Below are 26,758 nucleotides of genomic sequence, written 5' to 3' on the forward strand. Positions count from 1 at the left end.
TGATTGTTTCTGGAAGACGGTGGCAATGCCTGTAATCGAATAGATGGCAATAAAGCATTCAACTGTCATCCACAGAGGCAGCCACTTGCCAGAGCCAACATGTGCCGAGGGTAGAGAGTCTACGGCTCTGAGACGCCTGGCAAGGCCTCTCCAGTTCCTGCAGTCCTGAACCTCAGGGGTGGTGGCCGGAGGCCGTTAGATTAGCGAGGACACAGCCTGAGCTGGAAGGAGGGGTCCAACTGGGATCTCTGACACAAACATGGCTTAAACAAAAAGACACGTAATTCATTTTGGAATCTCAACTGCTTTTGTGTAGACATAACTTTTTTTTTTTTTTTTTTTTTGAGATGGAGTCTTGCTCTGTCGCCCGGCTAGAGTGCAGCGGCGCAATCATGGCTCACTGCAATGTCCACCTCCTGGGTTCAAGCAGTTCTCCTGCCTCAGCTTCCCAATTAGCTGGGATTACAGGCACCCACCACCATGACCAACTAATTTTTGTATTTTTTTTAGTAGAGACGGGATTTCAACTCGATTATCTCCATCTCCTGACCTTGTAATCTGCCTGCCTTGGCCTCACAAAGTGCTGGGATTACAGGCATGAGCCACCGCACCCAGCCCACGTTAAATATTAAGATTCCATGCAGGCGAAGCAACAGGAGAACCTGGCAAGAACAGATGCCACCCCGCCAGGCAGCCCACAAGGCCTGCCCCCTGTGTGCTGGCCGCTGAGGCCTGAGGCATGGGGACTGGCAGGAGGCCCACTGGGTCGGAGAGAGAACTCTGAAGCTTGGAGGGAGGAAGGTGTGATGAAGCCTGGGTCCCTGTCCCTAAGGGGTCCTGACAGTCTGGGCCCCACCCTGAGTCTATGACTGGCTTCCCCTTTGTGAGGAGAGCAGACCCTGCATCATCAGCAACCAGTGCTCCCTCCAGCCTCCGCGCATTTCAGCTGGCGCTGCAGCTGCTGCACAGAGACCCACAGAGGCCACCCTCGGAACCAGCGCCCAATGAGAGGGCGGGACCTGTGTTCCTCCACACAAAGCCAGGCGCTGGGGTAAGCGTAGGAGGCGACACGTAGGATGGGAGGGTGGCCCCGATCATGCCTCTGTTCCAGGACCAGCCCCTTCCCGAGAGCACAGGGGCCAGGGTCACTAGGAGCAGCGAGTGTGCACTGGGACCCCCGAGGGGCAATTTGTAGTCAGCCCTTCATACTCCTTCAAGGGAAAAGCAGTCCAGCATTGTATGAAGTCATGTACTTTTCAATCCAAAAATTTCCTATGGTGTCCAGTGCCTCCTGCATGCTGAGGTGCCAGTTATATAAGAGTGAACGAAGTAGACCCATTCCTGAGACTAAAGTTACCAAAGGAGGGGAGTGTAAGTTAACTGCATCCCATAGTGGGTACAGGAAATTCAACTGAATTCAACCAAAGCCGATTGAATGGCCGCTGTGCTCTGGGAACTGTGACAGATGCTAGGGTTATGAGACGGAACTGGATCATCTATGAAACACACATGGTTGTAATTCAGGGCCGAGCAGAATTGTTTCCATAGGATAAGTGTGAAGTGGTATGGACCCCACGGGGGAAAAGAAAATCCCCCCAGTGTAGAAAGGAAGGGCTTCAAGGAGGAGTGGGCATTCATGCTGGGCTTCCTGGGAGAGGTGGGCTTCCATCAGCAGAAACTCAGGGGCTCTAGGGGCATTTGAGGCTGAGGAGGGTGGGCTGAAGCACTGGGCTCCTGTTGTCACATGCGAGCGGGAAGCGGGCTGTGACAGGCCGAACAGCGGCCGAGAACGGGTGCAAGGCCGTGAGTGCCTGCCGGCCTGTAGCCTCCACACCGCAGGCAGAGGTCATGATGAGGGAAGAGATCACACCTGCCCATCTCCAGTCTTCAAAGAGGCAAAGTCAGCTCTCCCAACTTGGGCTAGTGATGGCGTTTGCGTTTCAAGCAGCTCAGTCTACCCCGGGTTTGTTGGAAATGAGGCTACTCTGGGTGTCTTGGGGCTGAGCGTACACATGGGACTTGATCTTTGACCTCTGCGACCTTAGAACTTTCTTGAGAAAACAGAACTTTCCTGATAATTAACAGAAAAAATAGTGCATGATTTCTGGTTTAATAATAAAATAATTATTCTGTGTTTCAAGCAATACAAATTTTTATTCAAAAGAACATTTAGGTAGGAAGTTTTTTTAAGTTGGTCAACTCAAAAAACGGGACTGTCTCATCTATAATTGGGGTGAAAAGCATTCTACATTCCATATAAACTATAAGCCACAGCTATCAACTATGCATCAGGAAAGGTGACAAGCAGAATGTGGACCATTTACAGGCCAAGTGCTTGAGGGTGACTGATCTCCACAAATGGCTTCAATGACCTAGAACAATCACGCACAAGGCCTGCAGCTACTGTGCGTTCCTACCCAATAAAGGTGGGATATTTTCTATGTCTACACCAAGCTTGTCCAATCCGAAGTCCTTGGGTCTCATGCAACCCAGGAGAGCTTTGAATGTGGCCCAACACAAATTTGTAAACTTTCTTAAAACATCATGAATTTTTTGTGATTTTGTTTTGTGTTTTTAGCTCATCAGCTGTCGTTAGTGTGAGTGTATTTTATGTGTGGCCCAAGACAATTCTTCTTCCAATGGGCCCAGGGCAGCCAAAAGACTGGACACCCCTGGTAGACAATGTAAATCAAAGAAAATGACCACCGCAAGTCTCAATCATTTAAGAAGTTTATGTGCCAAGGTTAAGGATGTACCCAGGAAAAAGAACACAGAACCACAGGAAAAGGCTGTGGCTTATGCTTTTTCCCCCATAGAGGGTCTGGGGACCTTAATAAGTAAAGAGAAAAGAGTAGGTATTGGGGGAAAGAGGAAGGAAAAAAAAAGGAGGGTCTGTAAGAGGGAAGCAGTTGCAACTTTTTGAATCTTTGGTCAGCATTCACTGAATACACATTTTATAAGTGGGGCGGGTAGAGGAACAGTCGCTTAGCATTCGTCTTGCTTAGTGAAACTTCATTTTTATATAAGATGAAATAAACATAGGACAGAGGATGCCATCAGTTATGCATTTGCCTCAGGTAAATGGAGGGATGACTTTGAGTTCTGTCCTTTGTCCCGTGCCTGTGAAGATGAGTTATCATCTTACATTGTCAGGGTGAAATTCAGCAGAACTGTTCTTGGGTAAAGATCTTGGAGCCCACCAGGAATTTCCTTGTGAGGGAGGTCTGTATGTAGCTTTTGCATCTTTGCAGCCATCTTCTTTAGGAGTAAAATGGGAGGCAGGTTTGCCTGATGCAGTTCCCAGCTTGACTTTTCCCTTTGGCTTAGTGGGTTTGTGGTCTTGAGATTTATTTTCCTTTTACAACAACTCACTTCTAAATTTGGAACTCACTGTGCTAAGCCGTGTGGAACAACAGCTGTGTGTATGAATTTTACATTCACACCAAGATGGCATATAGGTTTTTACATATTTACGGCTTGGCTACAGGGGTGGCTATTAATAGTTAAAAAGTGAAGGAAACCATATTCGCACAAGAGAAACGGAAACATACAGGTTATGTATGGTGAATCTCCAGGAATTCCAAGTAAAGCAGGGAAATGCTTTTGTAATTAACCTCTGAAATCCTAAAAGTATAGGTCTTTTTATATAAAAATGTACACTTTTCTTTCTATCTCTTGCACATGAAAGAGGCAAAGAGCAGCATTGCCTATTCATTGGCGGATGTTTTCTTTGGTTCTCTATGTTGGTGAAAACTCCTTTTACAGCATCTGGTATCAAGGTCACTTGAGAAGGGCCCCTCTCCTTGACCCCAAAATATTTTCTCCTCATTTCAGTTCGATGACACCTGAAATTCCTGGTGTTGAATCACATGGTTTAACCCTTCAGCTGGATCCCGGTCAAATGGAAAGTTGCTCTGGGGCTCTGTCCTGTAAGCAGTGAATGTGCCAAAAAGATAAAATGTGAAGAAAAAGACTCTTAGTTATTTTTGCAGAGCCTGTCTTGGATGGAAGAAAGCACCAAAACTAGGAGCTGTCGGCTAAGGAGGCTGCCGTCCCTGGGAGCCGCTCTCTCCTACTGCATCCTGTTGTCCCTCAGTCTTCTGGGCAAATCAGTGGGCCCTCATCTAGAGATCGGGATTCCCGCAGTGATGGAATACATTATTTTTGGCTGACTTCCTTGCCATGGGGCCCCATACACCCAGGAATATCATCAAGGTATGGAAAAAGGGGGCTCTTCCCCCTTCCTACACCAGGAGGCTGTGGCTCTTAAGAAATTGGGTCACTCCTGGTCATTGGAATGCTGTCTATGCCCTGATGACATTGACTGGTGTTCTAGCCCTTGAAGAGGGAAGAGCTGTGCTGGCTTCAAAGTGTCTGTCTGTTGGCTGCATGGTGGAAGATGCCATATGTGTTTCCTTGTTCTAGGTGCATATGCAGTTGGGTTAAATGGTGGCTTAGTACTGAATGGTGGGTGGTATTTTCCTTCCAGATGAGGACTCTGACCTTAGAAGTTTTCAGCGGGTGGCGTTTCACAGTAATGGAGTCTGACATACACAAATGGGACATCCACCTCCATTGCCTGTTCTTGTAGGCTGTGATGTGGCAACAACTCTGTTTAATCTCCAGGATCTCAGAGTTTACATCCTCTGAGCTTGGTACTGGGTGCTTCACCAGTGATAGTGAGATTCCAGGCAGGGCTTTCCCTACCTATGGAAACAGGCACAGGGGTGTCCACTCTCTGAATGTGCACTCCCTTCCTGAACACTGGTTGGGGGAATAGCTCAGATGTACTCTAGTTTCCTTCTGGAAGCTTCTATGTGGAGGTCTGACTGCACTCTCCTAGGATGCTGCCCAGTCAGGGACTCTTTATATACCAGGTGTCATTGACAAAAGAGCACTTTCAGTGTCCGCAGTTCAAAGGGCCCATCCCTCTCTCTGTGGCCCCCAACCTCGTTAAGGACCTGCTCGCAGAACCCCTCCCACGGGCCGCACCTGAAACACAGGCTCCCACCTCAGGAAGCTTTTGGCAGTGCAAGGTGGAGATCATGACGTTGCTGATATAATCAGAAAGTTCCTTGGTAGTTTACATATTAGTAGCAAAATCACACTTTTACCTACTTCAGAGACTATCATGACTCAACAGCGTGACTTCCCAGTGAGGCTGAAAACCCTCACTGAGGCCCTGAAAACCCAAATACAGTTTTTCGACATTTTGAGCTTATGTTGAATGACTTCTTTTCAGATAAATCTTGTAGGCCCGGAGAGCGGTTTTAGTTGGGCTGTTCTGTCTATGCTCAGGGTTAAGACTGGGTTGGTTAAATTGACAGGTGTCCCAGCTTCTGCCCCAAATAAGTGGCAAATGCTGTTACATAATTCATAATTTCACGTTATATTTTTGTTGTAATATATTTGTATATTTGTATAGTACATTTGTATCATATTACACGTCCCTTTGCCTTTTAAATCTGAGTACGGTAAACCTACTTTATTCTTCTCTAGATAATTTTAATTATTGATTATAAGCTTTGGCTAATATAAATGGATGCCTTCAGGGCCTAGCCAGGACCCAGCCTCTGCAATCAAGTGCCCCAGACCCTGTGGTTTTATGTGTTATTTGTATCTTTCGTGAATTTTATTATGCTAGCAGTCGTTCTTGTCTGGTTCCAGCACCATCTCACCAGTTCCCCACCAGCACATCTGATGTATTATAGGCTAGAAGTCCAAATATTCAAAAGCACATTTTGTATTATATAAATGTTTCCATGTATATGTATAAATATACACCCAGATGTGATACACACACATGTACATGCAGCACACACTGATTTAAGCACTGAGGGTAAAAGTGTAGGACTCACTCTCTTTGGTAAAATGTCAGGTTTTGTGATGTTTGTTTTCACTGAGAGTAGATATTCTACTGAATTTTGGGTTCAAAGCCAAGAGGGTTAAGTTAGCCATAAATCTCCTGGCTTCCGACCTAGAAAACAGATGTTATAAAAATGGAGGAAGAATTTTAGGTAGATATGAGCAATGGAATGGGAATTGTGTGTCTGTATTACTTGTACTCAGTACAGTTTTTCAATGTTTGAAATAAAAACAATGTACTGGCCAGGTGCAGTGGCTCATTCCTGTAGCCCCAGCACTTTGGGAGGCTGAGGCAGGTGGATCACCTGAGGTCAGGGGTTTGAGACCAGCCTGACCGACATGGTGAAACCCCGTCTCTACTAAAAATACAAAACAAATTATCCAGGCGTGGTGGTGCCCACCTGTAATCCCAACTACTTGAGAGGCTGAGGCAGGAGAATCGCTTGAACCAGGGAGGCAGAGGTTGCAGTGAGCCAAGTGTGCCATTGCACTCCAGCCTGGGGGACAAAAGCGAAAATCCATCTCACAACAACAAAAAAAAAGAAAAAAGAAAGAAAGAAAACAATATACAAAATGTTTTATTCCATTAATGTAAAGGAAAAGATCTAGACCCCTGTACCCCTCCCTCCCTGCACTTTGGTGTGTTGGTTCATTCATTTATTCCACAAACATGAGGGCACCCTGTCCAGGAACACAGATTAAAAGGACACCCGTGGCCTCATATTTCAGCCAGCGAGGCAGCCAATGGACATTTCCCAAATCACACAGGCCCCAGGACCAAAAAGGGCAGTGAGGGAGAGCGTTTGGGGTGGAGGCTCAGCCAGAGACCCAGGAGGGCAGCGTGGGCATTCCCGTGATCCCTTCTGCAGTGCACAACACTGCAGCATGAGCTCGATAGCGCCTGACTGGGCAAGCCTGCAGCTCAGCTCCTTGTCCAGCCGGACCCAGTCGCTCCCCGGGTGTGCTGGGAGAACACAGGGTGAGGTCATGGTGCACCAGTGCCCTTCCTGTTCCTGCACAAGTTGGCTTTCTAAGAGCTACTCAGTACAAATGAGTGTCATTTTCTCTTTATTTTCATTATTTTATTTTATTAACTGAAAAATATTAATTGTATATATTCATTGGGTACTAGTGAAGTTTTGTTATGTATAATGTATAACGATCTGATCAGAGTAATTAGCATATCTATTGTCTCAAATATTTATCATTTCCTGTGGTGAGGATGTTCAATATCCTCCTTCCAGCTATTTGAAACTATTATATATTACACTGCTGTTAAGCCTGGTCACTCTGCAGTGGCATAGAACACTAGGACTCCTTCCTCCTGTGTGGATGTGACTTTGTGTGCTTTAACAAATGTCTCCCTATGTCCCCTCCTCCTAACCTTCCCAGCCTCTAGAAACCTCTGTTGTACGTTTTACTTCAATTAGATCCACTGTTTTTTTAGCTTTCACCTATGAGTAAGAACATGCGGTGTTTAACTTTCTGTTCTTGGCTTATTTCATTTTATGTAATGTTCTCCAGTTCCATCCATGATGGCATGAATGACAGGATTTCATTCTGTTTTGTGGCTGAATAGTGTTAAAGTGAAGTAAATATGGCCAGAGAAGGGCTCCGTACTTTTATATTTGAGTCCTTCTGGATAGGTAGACAAGATTGAAACCCCAACTTAGGAGTATGCACCTGTAACAATCGCTGAGTCCTGGCCAATCCCCGCAGCTGTACTTCAACCACTCATACACTGGCGAGTGCTCAAACTGTGTTCAAATAAGGCAAACAGCAACCTGTAACCAATCCAGCTGTTGCTGTACCTCACTCCCGATTTCTATACGCCGCTTTACTTTTACGTCTGTAAATTTGTTCTGACGACGAGGCACCCCTGCAGTCTCTCTGAATCTGCTGTGACTCTGGGGGCTGTATGATTCGTGAATCATTCGTTGCTCAACTAAACTCCTTTAAATTTAATTTGGCTGAAGTTTTTTTTTAACAATAGTATTCCATTGCTAAAAGAAAAACCTTAGATAAATTAAATGTAACAGAGTTTAACTAAGAAGGAACTCTTCACGAATTTGGCAGTCACCAAACCAGAACAGGTTCAAAGACCCCACACTGCGTCCGGGTGGGTGAGAATTCATGGAGAGAAAAAGGAAAGTGAGGCACGGAAAATGGAAGTGAAGTACAGAACCTCCTGTTTGTTACAGCACGGGGTTTGCCTTTTTTGAACACAGTTTCAGCAGTTGGCTGCCTGTGGTCGGCTGATTAGTAGTGTGCTAATCACTACTTGGTGATTAGTACAACAGTAAGTTACAGTTTGTTTACCCTCCCGTTAGCTGACAGCTCACTGTGTATGAAGGAACCTTTAGACCCAACTTATAAGGAGGCAATGTTAGGCGAAATTCAATTTAATATGAACTTTAAAGTAGTTTTTTCCAATTCTGTGAAGAAAGTCATTGGTAGCTTGATGGGGATGGCATTGAATCTATAAATCACCTTGGGCAGTATGGCCATTTTCACGATATTGATTCTTCCTACCCATGAGCATGGAATGTTCTTCCATTTGTTTGTATCCTCTTTTATTTCCTTGAGCAGTGGTTTGTAGTTCTCCTTGAAGAGGTCCTTCACATCCCTTGTAAGTTGGATTCCTAGGTATTTTATTCTCTTTGAAGCAATTGTGAATGGGAGTTCACTCATGATTTGGCTCTCTGTTTGTCTGTTGTTGGTGTATAAGAATGCTTGTGATTTTTGTACATTGATTTTGTATCCTGACACTTTGCTGAAGTTGCTTATCAGCTTAAGGAGATTTTGGGCTGAGACAATGGGGTTTTCTAGATATACAATCATGTCGTCTGCAAACAGGGACAATTTGACTTCCTCTTTTCCTAATTGAATACCCTTTATTTCCTTCTCCTGCCTAATTGCCCTGGCCAGAACTTCCAACACTATGTTGAATAGGAGTGGTGAGAGAGGGCATCCCTGTCTTGTGCCAGTTTTCAAAGGGAATGCTTCCAGTTTTTGCCCATTCAGTATGATATTGGCTGTGGGTTTGTCATAGATAGCTCTTATTATTTTGAAATATGTCCCATCAATACCTAATTTATTGAGAGTTTTTAGCATGAAGCGTTGTTGAATTTTGTCAAAGGCTTTTTCTGCATCTATTGAGATAATCATGTGGTTTTTGTCTTTGGCTCTGTTTATATGCTGGATTACATTTATTGATTTGCGTATATTGAACCAGCCTTGCATCCCAGGGATGAAGCCCACTTGATCATTGTGGATAAGCTTTTTGATGTGCTGCTGGATTCGGTTTGCCAGTATTTTATTGAGGATTTTTGCATCAATGTTCATCAAGGATATTGGTCTAAAATTCTCTTTTTTGGTTGTGTCTCTGCCCGGCTTTGGTATCAGAATGATGCTGGCCTCATAAAATGAGTTAGGGAGGATTCCCTCTTTTTCTATTGATTGGAATAGTTTCAGAAGGAATGGTACCAGTTCCTCCTTGTACCTCTGGTAGAATTCGGCTGTGAATCCATGTGGTCCTGGACTCTTTTTGGTTGGTAAACTATTGATTATTGCCACAATTTCAGCTCCTGTTATTGGTCTATTCAGAGATTCAACTTCTTCCTGGTTTAGTCTTGGGAGAGTGTATGTGTCGAGGAATTTATCCATTTCTTCTAGATTTTCTAGTTTATTTGCGTAGAGGTGTTTGTAGTATTCTCTGATGGTAGTTTGTATTTCTGTGGGATCGGTGGTGATATCCCCTTTATCATTTTTTATTGTGTCTATTTGATTCTTCTCTCTTTTTTTCTTTGTTAGTCTTGCTAGCGGTCTATCAATTTTGTTGATCCTTTCAAAAAACCAGCTCCTGGATTCATTGATTTTTTGAAGGGTTTTTTGTGTCTCTATTTCCTTCAGTTCTGCTCTGATTTTAGTTATTTCTTGCCTTCTGCTAGCTTTTGAATGTGTTTGCTCTTGCTTTTCTAGTTCTTTTAATTGTGATGTTAGGGTGTCAATTTTGGATCTTTCCTGCTTTCTCTTGTGGGCATATAGTGCTATAAATTTCCCTCTACACACTGCTTTGAATGCGTCCCAGAGATTCTGGTATGTTGTGTCTTTGTTCTCGTTGGTTTCAAAGAACATCTTTATTTCTGCCTTCATTTCGTTATGTACCCAGTAGTCATTCAGGAGCAGGTTGTTCAGTTTCCATGTAGTTGAGCGGCTTTGAGTGGGATTCTTAATCCTGAGTTCTAGTCTGATTGCACTGTGGTCTGAGAGATAGTTTGTTATAATTTCTCTTCTTTTACATTTGCTGAGGAGAGCTTTACTTCCAACTATGTGGTCAATTTTGGAATAGGTGTGGTGTGGTGCTGAAAAAAAATGTATATTCTGTTGATTTGGGGTGGAGAGTTCTGTAGATGTCTATTAGGTCCGCTTGGTGCAGAGCTGAGTTCAATTCCTGGGTATCCTTGTTGACTTTCAAGTCAACCCTAAGCCAAAAGAACAAAGCTGGAGGAATCACACTACCTGACTTCAAACTATACTACAAGGCTACAGTAACCAAAACAGCATGGTACTGGTACCAAAACAGAGATATAGATCAATGGAACAGAACAGAGCCCTCAGAAATAACGCCACATACCTACAACTATCTGATCTTTGACAAACCTGAGAAAAACAAGCAATGGGGAAAGGATTCCCTATTTAATAAATGGTGCTGGGAAAACTGGCTAGCCATATGTAGGAAGCTGAAACTGGATCCCTTCCTTACACCTTATACAAAAATCAATTCAAGATGGATTAAAGATTTAAACGTTAGACCTAAAACCATAAAAACCCTAGAAGAAAACCTAGGCATTACCATTCAGGACATAGGCATGGGCAAGGACTTCATGTCCAAAACACCAAAAGCAATGGCAACAAAAGACAAAATTGACAAATGGGATCTAATTAAACTAAAGAGCTTCTGCACAGCAAAAGAAACTACCATCAGAGTGAACAGGCAACCTACAAAATGGGAGAAAATTTTCGCAACCTACTCATCTGACAAAGGGCTAATATCCAGAATCTACAATGAACTCAAACAAATTTACAAGAAAAAAACAAACAACCCTATCAAAAAGTGGGTGAAGGACATGAACAGACACTTCTCAAAAGAAGACATTTATGCAGCCAAAAAACACATGAAAAAATGCTCATCATCACTGGCCATCAGAGAAATGCAAATCAAAACCACTATGAGATTCCATCTCACACCAGTTAGAATGGCAATCATTAAAAAGTCAGGAAACAACAGGTGCTGGAGAGGATGCGGAGAAATAGGAACACTTTTACACTGTTGGTGGGACTGTAAACTGGTTCAACCATTGTGGAAGTCAGTGTGGCGATTCCTCAGGGATCTAGAACTAGAAATACCATTTGACCCAGCCATCCCATTACTGGGTATATACCCAAATGACTATAAATCATGCTGCTATAAAGACACATGCACACGTATGTTTATTGCGGCATTATTCACAATAGCAAAGACTTGGAACCAACCCAAATGTCCAACAATGATAGACTGGATTAAGAAAATGTGGCATATATACACCATGGAATACTATGCAGCCATAAAAAATGATGAGTTCATGTCCTTTGTAGGGACATGGATGAAGCTGGAAACCATCATTCTCAGTAAACTATCGCAAGAACAAAAAACCAAACACCACATATTCTCACTCATAGGTGGGAATTGAACATTGAGATCACATGGACACAGGAAGGGGAATATCATACTCTGGGGACTGTGGTGGGGTGGGGGGAGGGGGGAGGGATAGCATTGGGAGATATACCTAATGCTAGATGACGAGTTAGTGGGTGCAGCGCACCAGCATGGCACATGTATACATATGTAACTAACCTGCACAATGTGCACATGTACCCTAAAACTTAAAGTATAATTAAAAAAAGAAATGGAAAAAAAAAAAAAGAAATTCAATTTAATAGAGTAGAGACCACATTTCCTGTATCCATCTCTCCCTGAATGGACCCCTGGGTAGATTCCGGACCTTGGGTATTGTGACTGTGCCATAGTAAACACAGGTGCCGTTGCCTCTTGGATGAACTGTTTCCTTTCCTTCCTACAGATGTCCAGTGTGGGGGCAGCTGAGGATCATGGGGGTTCTGCTTGTAATTTTATGAGGAGCCTCCATGCTGCTCTCTACAGTGGCTGTACTGGTTTCCATTCCCACCAACAGTGTATGAGAGTCCTTTTTTCTCCACATCCTCGCCAGCCAGCCTCCTTCACTGAAAGAAGAAATAATAATATATGTTATGATATAATATATCTAATTAAGTATTGTCACTATGTTCTATATTTATTTAGCATATTACATAAGATGTTATTGTTGTATACTAATTTGTATTAGGTATTAATAATATACTATTTAGAATATAAATTAAGCATATAAATATATAATTAAATCAATTCCCTGCCATGGGTCGTGGGTGGCATTGCTCATCCCCATCCTCCTTCTCAGCGATGGGGACTTTGTCCCCCTCAGCACAGATCAAGGAAGAAAATCTGCAGGGAGAACTGTCCTCTTACCATAGGGACGAGAGTCCCTCCGAGACAAGACAGTGGTTTTGCTCGTTGGCTCAGCTGTCCTGTTCCAGAACGGGGGCTCGGCCTCACCCGTGCAGAACTAAAAATTGCACTGAAGAGCTTGTGGTCTTGTTTGTTCCAAACAGGCAGTCTCTACCCCAACCCCACAGGCAAACTCCACCACTACAGCTAGGGTGACGGAACATCCTCAGTCAGCTTTAAAAACAGCATTTGCTTCCTTCAGAATTGGGAGGTGGAGCCATTTAACTGAAAAGAAGCATTTCCTCCCCTCTGTGTGGGCCTTGGGGGGCTCCTCCCCACCTCTGTCCCCCGCCCTGGGATGATGGCCAATCAGGCCACACCATGACCCACACCCCAGCCCTCACCCTGGCCCTCTTCACAGCCACAGGACAAAGTGCTGGCTCTCCCTCCCATGCCAGGGGCTGCAGACGTGTCCCAGCCAACTTCAACAAACCGCACATGCTTTCCACACACAATCAAACCAACCGCTGGCTGTGGTCAGCATCTTCAAGTCTGAGAAAGGCAGGATACAAGACATCTGTGGTAGTTCCAAAAGGACTTTGAGAAGAAAAAGTTCTTGAGTATGCATTGCTCTCTGGAGGACACTCCAATGGGAAGGCAGATGCGTAGTTGAAATGGGGTCCCCAACCCGGCATGGCTTGCCTGGGCAGCCCTGGGAAGGGGCAAAGCCTCATGGACTGCTCCAGGGAGGGCCGGCCACTCCTCTTGCTGCTGTGGGGAGACGGAACTGAGGTTTGCAGACCTGCCCTGTCTCGGACGGCGCTCGCTGACCAGGCACGGTGGAGCCTGGGGGGTCCAGGCCAGGCCCTAAAAGCCTATTCCAGGGGAGGCAGGGCTCAGGCCAGGGCGCGCCAACCTTCTAGAGCCTGGATGCAGCGTTCTCAAGGCTGGGAAAAGGTGGGGGTGCCAGAGACTGGACAACATTCAGTCTGCAGTCTGGCGCGGTGTCCCCACATTGGTTTGTGAAATGGCGACTGAGCTTCCACAAGATTCAAGAGGGAGCTGTGATCAGATAACAGCGTATTTCTTGGTGATAGGAAAGAAGCATTTTTAACTTTGTTTAATCCAGTATCCATGGTTATTCCACTCTGGATTTCCTCCTACACACACATGCACACACACACACACCACACACAACACATACACACAGATAACACACACAACATACACACAACACACAGACATGCAACGCACCACACACACAACACAAAATATACACACAATATAAGCAGCATACACACAATGCACACAACATACACAGCACATACAACACACACAACCCATGAAACACACAACACACATACATACCACGTATAACACACAATACACATTCACATATACACAGCAGACATACACAGCACATACAACACACCACATGCAATACAACACACACTCATACACAACATAAAACATACAAGCAGCACAAACAAAACACACACCACATGCAACACACGACACACATACATGATACATACAACACAATACACAATACACACACAACATAAACACACAGCACATACAACACACAACTCGTGCATACCACATGCAACACACAACACACACAACATACACACAACACAAGCAACACACACAACTCATACAACATACACAACACACAGCAAACATACATGCTAGATGCAACACAACACACATGACACACATGCATGCCATATGCAACACACAATACACTCACACAACACACAACATACAGACAACACATACCACATGTGACACACAATACACACAACATGCACAGACAACACAGAAACAACAAACACACTCAACAGGCACAACATAGTCACACACACACACACACACACACTGCTTGAAACTTATTGATAGCATGGAACAATTTGAAAGCATTACTGCAAACTAGGACAACTGAATTTTAATAACCATGATGGATTGATCAATTCTGTATGTTCCTTATTAAAGCAACAGTGACAAGGGAGATGCTGTGTGTTCATTGTTGATGCTGCTTTGTTCACAGATCTTTGAGAACCACCACCCCAGCCTTTACCCTTAACATTCCATCCGAGGCAAACCACACTGAGCAGCCGCCTGCAGGCCTGGGAGCAAGGCTACAGGAAGCAGGTGTTTCCATCCCTCCCAGGCGAGGCCGCCCAACACCAACACTGGAGAAGAAGGTGGGTGGGCAAGCCAGGTAGTTCCTTCCTTCCTTCCTTCCTTCCTTCCTTCCTTCCTTCCTTCTTTCCTCCTTCTTTTTTCCCCTCCCTCCCCTCTTCCTTCTTCTTTTTCTTTCCTCCTTCTCTCCTTCCTTCCCTTCCTCCTTCCTGCTCTCCCTCTTTCTTTCTCTGCTTGCTTCCCTCCCTCCTTCCTGCCCTCCCTCCTTCCTCCTTTTCTACTCTTTCCTTCCCTCATTTCCTCCTTCCTTCCTTCCCTCCCTCCCTCCTTCCTTTCTTGTAAAACCTTCACGGAAAGTACAGCATCTGTCAAAATTTACTTCTTTTATATCAATCAGAAATTTTCAAACACTACAGAATTTCCACCAAGTAAGTTATTTATATCATTATGTGATCAATTTTGCACGAACAATACAAATCAAAATTGCCTTAGCTTGAAAATTTTGATGAGCACGTTGTCTCAGGACTTTGACATATGTACATTTTTATCAAGAGTCTTTGACGTTTTTTACCTTTTCTCTAGATCTTAATGAAACAACACACTTCATCATCAGTTATGATCGTCTTAAGAATTATTCTGCTTTCCTTCTTCGAAGTTCAAAAGAATATTTCAAATCTGCCTTTTATCTTTTAAAATGTGAGGCAAAATCTCTACATTATTATTTTTACTGAATAGGTTTTAAAAACTTAAGTTGTTCTTTCCGACTCTCTTTGTCACTAATAACCACTTATTTGAGTGACCCAAGCCTCTATGCACCGAAACCCCTCCAGTGGGCCTGATGGGTCAGGTGGGTGCATGGGGAACCATGGTAGGTGCCTGGCCTTCTTAAATTTCTCAGGCCAAAAGAACTCTTACTAATTTTATGACATCATTGTTTCACACCTCTTGTAACATACTTGAATTCATTTAACTAAATGAAAGTTGACATTCGTGTTTTGTTCTTAATCATGCTCACTTTTTAGGCCAACAGGACGGGCCGCAGATATGGGTCTGCAGGGACTCAGCCCTCAAAAGTATGATAGAGTATTTGCAAACATTTTTAACATGTTACTAACAGAATGCAATAGCAGGGCAAAATCGGAAGAAAGAGTAAAGGGGTTCCCAGGACAAGATGGATTTATTCTAATAAAGGGAGCAGAGATGGGTGCATTGGTGAAGAGACGTGGGTGTCCGGTGAGACTGCACAGTGGGAGGGTGGACACACAGGACAGCTGGCAGCACCGGGTGCACGGTTTCCTCAGAAAAATCTACTAGGTTATGGTCTTGACCACTCTCCTAACCTTTCTCAATGATCCATTTTTAGAAAAAACCTCATTTGATGGCGGAAGATGAACCTTCAGGGGCCCTCTTGAAGCCGCTGGTTTTTCGCGTTGACGAGACCACCCCGGCTGTGGTGCAAAGCGTCCTCCTGGAGAGGGGGTGGAATAAGTTTGATAAGCAGGAGCAGAACGCGGAGGACTGGAACCTGTACTGGAGGACATCCTCTTTCCGAATGACCGAACACAACAGTGTTAAACCGTGGCAGCAGCTAAACCACCACCCTGGAACCACCAAGCTTACCAGGAAAGACTGTTTGGCCAAACACCTGAAGCACATGAGGAGGATGTATGGCACTTCCCTGTACCAGTTCATCCCCCTGACGTTCGTCATGCCCAATGACTATACCAAGTTCGTGGCTGAATACTTTCAGGAGAGGCAGATGCTGGGCACCAAGCATAGCTATTGGATTTGCAAGCCTGCTGAGTTATCTCGTGGGAGGGGGATACTAATTTTCAGTGACTTTAAAGACTTCATCTTTGATGATATGTACATAGTGCAGAAATATATCTCCAATCCTTTACTTATTGGCAGATATAAATGTGATCTCCGCATCTATGTTTGTGTTACTGGCTTTAAGCCTTTGACCATTTATGTTTATCAGGAAGGGTTGGTTCGGTTTGCCACGGAAAAGTTTGACCTCAGTAATTTGCAAAACAATTATGCCCATTTGACCAACAGCAGCATCAATAAATCCGGGGCCTCTTATGAGAAGATCAAAGAAGTGATTGGTCATGGTTGTAAATGGACGCTCAGCAGATTTTTTTCCTACCTTCGTAGCTGGGATGTGGACGATCTGCTTTTGTGGAAGAAAATCCACCGCATGGTTATTCTCACCATTCTCGCCATTGCACCATCTGTCCCCTTTGCTGCCAATTGCTTTGAGCTCTTTGGGTTTGATATTTTGATTGATGACAACTTGAAACCATGGCTTTTAGAGGTCAACTACAGCCCAGCCTTGACCTTGGATTGTTCAACAGATGTGTTGGTGAAGAGAAAACTTGTCCATGATATTATTGACCTGATTTACTTAAATGGTCTAAGAAATGAGGGGAGAGAAGCCAGTAATGCCACACATGGAAATTCCAACATCGACGCTGCAAAAAGTGACAGAGGTGGGCTTGATGCTCCTGACTGTCTTCCTTATGATTCTCTTTCGTTCACAAGCAGAATGTACAACGAGGATGACTCTGTGGTGGAGAAAGCTGTGAGTGTGCGTCCTGAAGCTGCACCTGCCTCCCAGCTGGAAGGAGAGATGAGTGGGCAGGATTTTCATCTGTCAACAAGGGAGATGCCACAAAGCAAGCCCAAGTTACGGAGCAGGCACACGCCTCACAAGACACTCATGCCCTACGCGTCCCTCTTCCAGTCGCACTCCTGCAAGACCAAGACCTCCCCGTGTGTCCTGTCAGACCGTGGCAAAGCTCCAGATCCCCAAGCAGGCAACTTTGTTCTTGTTTTTCCTTTCAATGAAGCAACTCTCGGAGCTTCCAGGAATGGATTAAATGTCAAAAGAATAATCCAAGAGCTCCAGAAACTAATGAATAAGCAACATTCCTAAGTGGTAAAAAATCAAATCAAGAAAAAGTGACATGGATTTTTAAAAACCAAGGATCCTGTCCTAGAGAAAGCAATAGTTCAAGTCCCTACCTGTGCCACCAGCATGTTAACTATGACATTGGGACTGAAGATGTGGCCATATGTATAAATATAACAGCTCTGACAAAGCACAATATGTTCAAGTGGTGATTAAACTACATTACATCCCATGTTTATTTGCTCAGGTGTCTTGAAAGAATTCTACAAATACCACACAGCCTCCCACCAGTAATTGAATGTGCTACACTACGATTATGCTATGTATGTATTTAAAGAGGAGAAAAAGATTATTCTAATATTTTTAAAGGATTATTAGGTGAAAACAGTACAAAAGAAGCCAGGAGTTAACTTTCTGTGTGTTTTTTTTTAAATCAACCAGTTATTTGTTAAAATTATTTTGTTAACTTAAGATCAGACAATCATTCAGAGTGAGATAAATCACTGAAAGCCCTAATGACTCTGTTGTTTACAAATCCTGGGCTTGAAATCAGACTTTGCACCAAAGAGCTCCCTGTGGGGGCATCTTTGGGCTGTATTTAAATAGTGGCCCCTTGGCCTTGTCACCATTTGTTTACCATCACAGCATGTGAGGTCATGGCCTCCCAGATCAAAGTATGCTGTCATTCCTGCCACATAAAAAGCATCTGCAGTCCTAAGACATAAAAATTCCAGTAGGTTACTTGAAAACATTATTCTAGTGAAAGTAGTCAGATACAAAAGGCCACATGTTGTATGACTCCGTTGATATGGAATGTCAGAATTGGCAAATCCATCAAAAGCAGATTGGTGGCTTAGGGGAGGGGTAATGAGGAGTGCCTACTGATGGGTAGGGGGCTTCCCTTTGGGGTGACAGAAATGTTCTGGAACTATATAGAGGTGATGGTTGCACAACACGGGGAATTCACTAAGTATCACTCATGGTACATTTTGTGTTATGTGTGTTTTACCACAATAAAAAAGTTAAAAGCTGGCCATGGTGGCTCATGCCTTCAATCCCAGCATTTTGGGAGGACAAGGTGGGAGGATCTCTTGAGCCCAGGTGTTTAAGACCAGCCTGAGCAACATAACAAGACTCTTCTCACTTAAAAAAAAGAAAAATTATTTTTTTATTTTAAAAAAAAAGGTAGGGATGGGGAAGTGCAGACAGGCGTATCTCCCAGCAGGTTCCTGGGTGGGCAGGCCTGGTCGCAGGTCATAGCTGAGAAGAGCTGGAGCCAGTTGAGAAGATCCCCCGTGGACCAAGGTCAGAAGTCAGCCTGCAGGGGCACTGCTAGACGTGTGCCTCCAGGGTCCCCAGGTGGACAGAACCACTCTCAGTCTGCAGGCAGGATGGGCCAGGACCGAGGTCCAGGGCCCTTTGAGGATCTGCCATAGGACAGAGGTTGGCAAGCCTACTCCAGGGACGGAATTGTGTGTCTCCTGGCAGGACCCCGGCTCGGCAGAACTCTCCCAGATCATAGCCTGGTAGGAAAGGCTAGACCCGAGCCCCAGGGCTGTGTCAGGATCTGCAAGGGTCCAAGTTCATTAAGCTCCATCCAGGGGCACTGGTGGGTGAGACTCTAGCAGTTCCCTATGTGACTGGAACTTCTCCTGGGTGGCAGTAGAATGGGGCTGGAGTCAGCATTCAGAGCTTGTTCAGGCTCTGCAATGGGACAGAGGCCAGCAACCCTATCGTGGTGGCCTAGACCAGCGAGTCTCCCAGCAGGCCCCTGTGTTGTTAAGAGGGCTCCTGGGTCACAGCCGAGAGGGCCTAGAGCCAAGAGAGGGTCCCGTCAGCATCTGCTGTGGAACAAGACCCACCGCAAGCCTCTGGGTGTTTCAGATGGGTGGGTCTCTCTCTGGGTCCTCGTAGGAGCAGGATTAACCTGCAACCACAGCTGAGGGGGGCTGGTGCCAAGGCACAGGGTAATTTTCACATCCACAGCTGGGACCATGTAGGTGGACCTGCCTGCTGAGGCACTGCTGTGCGTGACTTCTCCAGGACTCCTTGGCAGGTGGTTTAGGTAGACTGAAAGTGAAGGGATGGAAAAAGATATTTCAGGCAAATGGAAACCAAAAGAGAGCAAGAATGGCTATCCTTATGTCTGAAAAAACAGACTTTAAGTCAATAACTGTAAAAAGAGACAAAGATGGTCCTTACATAATAATAAAGGGGCCCATTCATCAAGAGCATGTTACAATTTTTAAGTCTGTGTACCCAACATTGGGCCACCTAAATATGTAAAGCCAATAATAATCAATCTGAAAGGAGACATAGACTGCAATATGATAGCAGCAGGAGGGCTTCAATACCCGACTTTCAACAGCAGACAGATCATCCAGACAGAAAATCAGTAAGGAAACATTGGGCTTGAAACTCACATTGGCCCAACTGGACCTAACAGTCATGCACAGAACATTCTCCAGGATAGATCATAGGTGAGGCCACAAAGCAAATCTTAGCAGCTTTAAGAGGACTGGATTCATATCAGGTTTCTTCTCTGACCACAGTGGAATAAAAATAGACATCAAAAACAGGACGATTTTTTTTAAAAAATCACAAACATGTGGAAATTAAGCAATATGCTCCTGAACAACCACTGAGTCAAAGAAGAAATTAAAAAGGAAATTTTAAAATATCTTGATACAAATGAAAATGGAAACACAACATACCAAAACTTATGGGATGCAGCAAAAGAAGTTATAAAAGAAAAGTTTATACCAATAAATGTCCATATCAAAAAAAAAAAAAGATCTCAAATAAACATCTGAACAATGCATTTCAGGGAAGTAGGAGAATAAACTCAACCCAAAGTCAGAAGAAAGGAAATAAAAACTAGAGCAGAAATAAATGAAATAGACACTAGAAAAACAATAGAAAAGAACAATGAAACTACTTGGTTTTTTAAAAACATAAAAAAATTGTTAAATCTTTCACTAACTGAGGAAAAAAAAGATGACAATAAAATCAGAAATGAAAGAGGAGACATTACAACTGATACCACAGAAATACAAAGAATCATAAGAGACTATTGTGAATAATTATATTCCAAGTAATTGGATAACCTAAGAGAAATGGATAAACTTCTAGACACATACAACCTAACAAGACTTAATCATGAAGAAATGGAAAGCCTGAATAGACCAATAACAAGTAAGGATATTGAATCCATAATAGAAAGTTGCTCATTAAAAAAAGTCCAGGACCTGATGACTTCACTTCTAAATTCTACCAAATATTTAAAGAAGAACAAATACCAATACTCCTCAACTCTTCCAAAAACCTGAAGAAAATACTTCTAAATTCATTTTACAAGGCCAGACAAGGACACTACAAGAAAGAAAATTATAGACCAATATCTCTGATGAACATAGATGCAGAAATCCTCAACAAAATACTAGCAAACTGAATTCAACAGCACTTCAAAGGATCAGAATCAAGTGGATTTTCCCCTGGGATTTGAGGATGGTTCAACATAGGCAAATTAATAAATATAGTACCCCATATTAACAGAACAAAGGGCAAAAATCATTTGATCATCTTGATAGACACACATACAAAAAAAGGATTTGACAAATTCAAAAACCTTTCATGATAAAAATTCTCAGCAAAGTAGAATCAAAGAGGTTACCTCAACACAGTAAAGATCGTATATGGCAAGCCTGAAGCTCCCATCATACTCAATAGTAAAATGTTGAAACCTTTTCCTCTAAGGTCAGGAACAACATGAGGATACCTGCTCTCACCACTTCTGCTCAACATCATACTGGAAGTCCTAGTCAGCATTAAGAAAACAAACAAACAAACAAACTAATAGGAAAGAAAGAAATAAAATTGTCTCTGTTTGTTGATGACATAATCTTATATATAGAAAACCCTAGAGATCTCACCCCAAACTGTTGCAAACTCAAACAAATTCAGTAAAGTTGCAGGATACAAAATCAACAAGCAAAAAGCAGTTGCATTTCTACACACTAACAACAAACTATATAAAAAAGAAATTAAGAAAATCTCATTTACAATAACATCAAAACAATAAAAATACTTAGCAGTAAATTTAACCAAAGAGGTGAAAAATATGTACGCTGAAAATTGTAAAATGTGATGAAAGAAATTGAAGATGACACATATTAAAATATTATCCTGTGTTCATAAACTGTCAGAATGAATATTGTTAAAATGTCTGCACTACCCAAAGCAATCTACAGATTCAATACAATTTCTATCAAAATCCCAATATCATTTTTCATAGAAATAGAAAACACAATCCTAAAATTTGTATGGAACCACAAGAGACCCCAAATAGACACAGCAATCCTGAACATAGAGAACAGAGCTAGAAGCATAGCACTATTTATTTTCAAAACAGATTACAAAGCTAGAGTAACCAAGCCAGCATGGTGGTTGCATGAACACATACGCATCGACCAGTGGGACGGGATAGAGAGGCCAGAAATCAAGCCACGTATTTACAGGGAATTGATCTTTGACTAAGGTGCCAAGAACACACAACAGGAAAGAGCAGTCTCTTCATCAAATGGTGCTGGGAAAACTAAGTGCAGAAAGATGAGATTGGACCTTTTGTTCACACCACATACAAAAATCAACTCAAAATGGATTAGAGGCCCAAACAAAAGACCTGAAACTGTGCAAGTACTAGAACAAAACATAAGGAAAAAGCTGCACAACATTGGTCTGGTCAATGATTTCTTGGATATCACCCCAAAAGAGTAGGTAACAAAAACAAAAATAAATGGGATTAGATCAAACTAAAAGCGCCTACACAGCAAAGGAAACAACAGAGGGGAGACACAACCCCCAGGCTGGGAGGAAATATTTGTAAACTCTGTATGTGATAAGGGGCTAGTTTCAAAAATATATTTAAAAATTCAAATACGAGCAAAGGACCTGACTAGACATTCTCAAAAGAAGACACACAAATGGCCGAGAGATACATGAAAAAATGCTCACTATCATGAATCATCAGGGAAATGCAAATTAAAACCACTAGAGCACTTCATACCTGTTAGAATGGATATTATTAAAAAGGTGATCCATTACAATATCCCTTCTAACAGGTATGAAGTGATATCACACTTTGTGTTTTGCTGGGGATGTGGAGAAAAGGAAGTCTTTGTACACTGCTAGTAGGAATGTAAATTAATACAGCCATTGTTTTAAAAAAGTATGGATGTTCCTCAAGAAACAAAAAATGGAATTACCATATGATCCAGCAATCCCACTTCTGGGTATATTTTCAAGAGAAATGAAATCAACATGTCAAAGAGATGTCTGCACCTCCATGTTCCTGGCATCATTATTCCCCATAAGACACGGAAGCAACCGAAGTGTCCAACCACAGATGAGTGGATAAAGAAAGGCTGGTGTATATCTACAATGAAACGCCATTCAGCCTTTAAAAAAGAAGGACACTGTCATTTGTGACAACATGGGTAAACCTAAAACACATTATGCTAAGTGAAGAAAGCCAGGCGCAGAAAAATAAGTATCACAGGTCTTCCCTTGTACATGTAATCTAAAAATGTTAAGTTAATTGAAGTAGAGAGTAGAATGCTGGTTACCAGAGGCTGAGGAGTGGGTAGGGGTGGCAAATGAAGAAATGCTAGTCAAAGGGTACAAAGTTCAGTGAGGCAGAAGAACTAAGTTCTATGAAGCCGTGGTGGGGAACTGCTGCGGGAGGGGCCGGGGGAGCGGCTGCGCTCTTGGTCGGCCAAGTGGAAACCCATGTGCCTTGGTCTGTGGGCCTGGCTGAGGCGATGCAGCTCTCCCAGGAGCAGAGAATCACCCTGGCAGGAGCGTGGAATCCTGGCTGAGTTCTTCCCATTTGGTATCAACAGCATTTTATATCAGCACAGCACATACCCACCTGAAGCCTTCATTGGAGTGCAGAGTACAGACTCACCTTGCTTGTAACTACAGATCCTGTGCTCATACAATACCTAAATAATGTGCTCGAACAACCAAAGGATTGGCTATACAAATGTTCGTTCATAAATTCGCCACAGTCATTGCAAATATTGAAAGTGGTGATGTCCTTGAAGGAAGGCACTTTGATACTGAGTGTGACAAGACTGCAAAAGATGACGGTGCACCCAGAGAACAGAGAGCGCACCCAGAGAAAGGAGGACAGGTAACCCAGAGAAAGGAGGACACTGAACCCAGAGAAAAGTCTCAGAAAGCTATCCAGGACAAAATCCATCCAGCGATCAGATGAACCACAGTTAGTGACATTTCTGCAACTGTTGAATTTTCTTGTTCATTCGATCTATGATTTATGCAAAGATCTGGTTGTACCTGGAAGATGGGAAGAGTGGGGACCACAGTTCATGACCAATCCGAGCAAGTCTCCCTTCATTCATTTGCTGCTACATCCACACAGCTCACAGCGTGGTGACCCACAAAACCTTGTCAATGACCGAGGATGACATGAGGAAGATAGTGTAATTTTCAAACGTGGTTTTCCTGAAACCAAGTCAACTATAGCTGATATGTTTTATTTCACTGGTTAATGTTGACATGGGAAAAACCAATATTATACTTTACTGAACTTTGTGTAATTGGTCAATTTTTTTGATACCTGTTAGGCTTACCATGGGGTTGACATAATGAATTTATTGCACATTGTTCAAAAGGAACCAGGAGGTTTTTGTCAGCACCGTAGTGTAAATTCCATTGCAGATGGTAACTGTAGATGGAAAAACTTTTGCTATAAAATGAAATGCTTCCTTAAATCAGACATTCTGGTAAAGTGGCTTGACTCAGCACAGGTAGGGAGATATTTAAATATAAAATACAATGAAAGCAGTCTAAATATTTAGAATCTTGGTTTAGATCCTGAAAGTAACTAATAATCCATAAGCAATGCAATATTGCTCTACTGGATCCTTTTGACATTTATTTCATCATGTAGTTTTCCATATTTAATAAATTTACAGATTTAATTTATATAACTTGAACCTATGAAGGAACAGATATTTCTACTGTTTAATGTCCTGTGATGTAGAACTCTTGAAAAAATTTTTTATTTTATATAATCAAGCTTTAAGTAAAAAATGAAGAAATAAAGTTAAACGTGTTATTATTTTTTAATTAATTAATTAATTATTTTTTTTTGGCAGAGTCTTGCTCTGTCGCCAGGCTGGAGTGCAGTGGCGCCATCTCGGCTCACTGCAACTTCCGCCTCATAGGTTCAAGTCATTCTCCTGCCTCAGCCTCCTGAGTAGCTGGGACTACAGGTGAGTGCCACCATGCCCAGCTAATTTTTGCATTTTAGTAGAGACGGGGTTTCACCGTGTTGGTCTTGAACTCCTGACCTTGTGATCTGCCTGCCTCGGCCTCCCAAAGTGCTGGAATAAAAGAAGTTCTAGTGATCTGTTGCATAGCATGGTGACGATAGTCAATAATAATGTAGTGTATATTTCGAAATTGCTAAAATAATAGATTTTCAATGTTTTCTTCACACAGAAAAAATGATGCCTGTAAAGTAATGGATATGTTATTTAGCTTCATTCAATCATTCCACAATGCAAACATACATCAAAACTTCACATTGTACCTAAGAAATATATACAATTACCGTCGGTTGAAATTATTTTGAAAGAGGCCAGATTAAGCTGCTGCAAGTAGGGATGCAGAGTGGGTGGCACAACTGCAAAGAGCAAGGGTCACCGCCAGGGTCAAGACAGTGACCTCTAACCGTGGCTGGGTGCACAGGGAGACTGCGGGTACAGCTGACAAAGCCTATGACCTCATCCAGGCGTGGGGGTGTGCACCTGTGGTCCCAGCTACTCCAGAGGCTGATGCAGGAGAATTGCTTGAACCTGGGAGGCGGAGGTTGCAGTGAGCTGAGATCGCGCCACTGCACTCCAGCCTGGGAGACAGAGTGAGAGTCTGTGAAAAAAGAAAAAAAAAAAAAAGGCTGTGACTTGACCTGCATGGAGTTCAGAGAAAAGGCAGGAGAAAAAACATGTTCCGGGGAATTTAGACACGAGACTGGAATGAACACTTTGTTCATTGCCTGTTTTCACGCATTTATACATTTATACGTTCTCAACTCTGTTCCAGGAAAGATTTAAAGGACGCAAGTAAGAACGCAAGCCCGTCAAGGCTGCTCCGATTTTAAATGTCAGTTCAGCTCCTACTTTATGGGGTTTGGCAAATAGAGTTAAGGGCCTTTTCCTCAAATGCTCAAACATTCCAATGAGACTAAATCAAGCAACTGGAATCGCTTGAAAACCAGAGACCAGATTCCATTCTCCCTCCGTTTTTTTGAAATCTTCACTTCTTTATCACTAGCTGGGTTTCGATGACTCTTCAGGTGTAAAGGTCAACCTCACAGAAATGGGAAAACCTGTGTTGTTAGGAAGGATGGTTTTATGTGAGCATTTGAAGTTTTAGGGCAAGAATGGCCTCGGGCCATCTGTCAGGAGAAGCTGCCACATCTGGCAGTATCTCTCCTAGGGTGAAACGTGCGCAGATTAAATTGAAGTAATAACGAGCTCACGTGGAGTCTGAGACGAGACAGGAAATTTGTATGCACGGCATGTGCCTTCGGTGCCCGGGCTATGGAGGAAAGAACACAGACAGTCTTCCTGAGGTGGGGCAGACAAAACCGGTGAAAGTGAAGGAGAATTAAGGCGCTACACGGTGGTCATTCAAAAAGCCTCAGAATTCCCCTCCTAAGAAGATGGAACAGGCGTGCGTTTTCCTCCGTCCCGCAGGTGCAACCGGAAACCTCGGGCAGTGCCCATCAGACAAACGCAGGAAGACGAGAGGCGGAGAGAGGAAGCCCGGGGGAGCCGGGGGACCCTGAGAACGACAGGGTGGGGCGTTCCTGGGTTTTTTTTTTTTTGACTCTTCCACCCCAAACTGGGTGCTCACAAGGACGCGGAGGAAGACAGCCACCGCTGCTGTCTCCAGCCAGAGCACTGGGAGAGGCGCGGCTCCAGGAAACATTTCAAGGACCCTGGGAAATGGGTGGAGATCTCCGAATCTAAAAAACCTTCAGGAGACTGGAAGTGTTTTGAAGTTGAGGGTTGTGGTTCTTTCTCATTTGGTTTCAAAACAGGATCCCCATTTCCCTTAATGTAGGATTCGAAGGCATAAGCAGAAGAGGAAAGGGGTGTCAAGGTCAGAGCCGCCTAGAAGCAGAAGCGCAGGCCAGCGAGATGCTCTTCAGAGTGACTTCGCTGTGGGCTGCGGCAGGCAAC

General features: G+C 43.4%; 1 protein-coding gene and 1 pseudogene across 2 annotated transcripts, besides 1 other annotated feature; both read left to right on the forward strand.

Moving 5' to 3' along the window:
- Positions 456-957: an enhancer, noted in NCBI's record as "H3K4me1 hESC enhancer chr6:167738113-167738614 (GRCh37/hg19 assembly coordinates)". NCBI's record gives its function as "activates a minimal SCP1, AML or CMV promoter by ChIP-STARR-seq in naive H9 embryonic stem cells {active_cell/tissue: H9 hESC(naive)}" and the evidence as "EXISTENCE:reporter gene assay evidence [ECO:0000049][PMID:30033119]".
- Positions 917-18,519, forward strand: TTLL2 (tubulin tyrosine ligase like 2). Of its 2 annotated transcripts, NM_031949.5 has the most exons (3): positions 917-1,051; positions 14,478-14,634; positions 15,936-18,519. In NM_031949.5, the coding sequence occupies exons 1-3, from the start codon at positions 1,005-1,007 to the stop codon at positions 17,508-17,510; spliced, it is 1,779 nt and encodes a 592-aa protein (NP_114155.4). In that variant the 5' UTR covers positions 917-1,004; the 3' UTR covers positions 17,511-18,519. The 2 variants fall into 2 exon arrangements, with proteins under 2 accessions (NP_114155.4, NP_001397877.1); NM_001410948.1 differs by lacking the exon at positions 14,478-14,634.
- Positions 23,199-24,165, forward strand: LOC100421518 (mitotic arrest deficient 2 like 1 pseudogene; annotated as a pseudogene).

The sequence above is a fragment of the Homo sapiens genome, chromosome 6 (genome assembly GCF_000001405.40).
Source record: "Homo sapiens chromosome 6, GRCh38.p14 Primary Assembly".
Taxonomy (NCBI): Eukaryota; Metazoa; Chordata; class Mammalia; order Primates; family Hominidae; genus Homo; species Homo sapiens.

Excerpts from the sequence above, each read along its gene's own strand:
- TTLL2 (NM_031949.5), top strand. The coding sequence starts at position 1,005 with ATGAGAGGGCGGGACCTGTGTTCCTCCACACAAAGCCAGGCGCTGGG. Across the intron at positions 1,052-14,477 it reads ACACAAAGCCAGGCGCTGGG|ATCTTTGAGAACCACCACCC; the intron begins GTAAGCGTAGGA and ends CTTTGTTCACAG. Across the intron at positions 14,635-15,935 it reads CACCAACACTGGAGAAGAAG|AAAAAACCTCATTTGATGGC; the intron begins GTGGGTGGGCAA and ends ATCCATTTTTAG.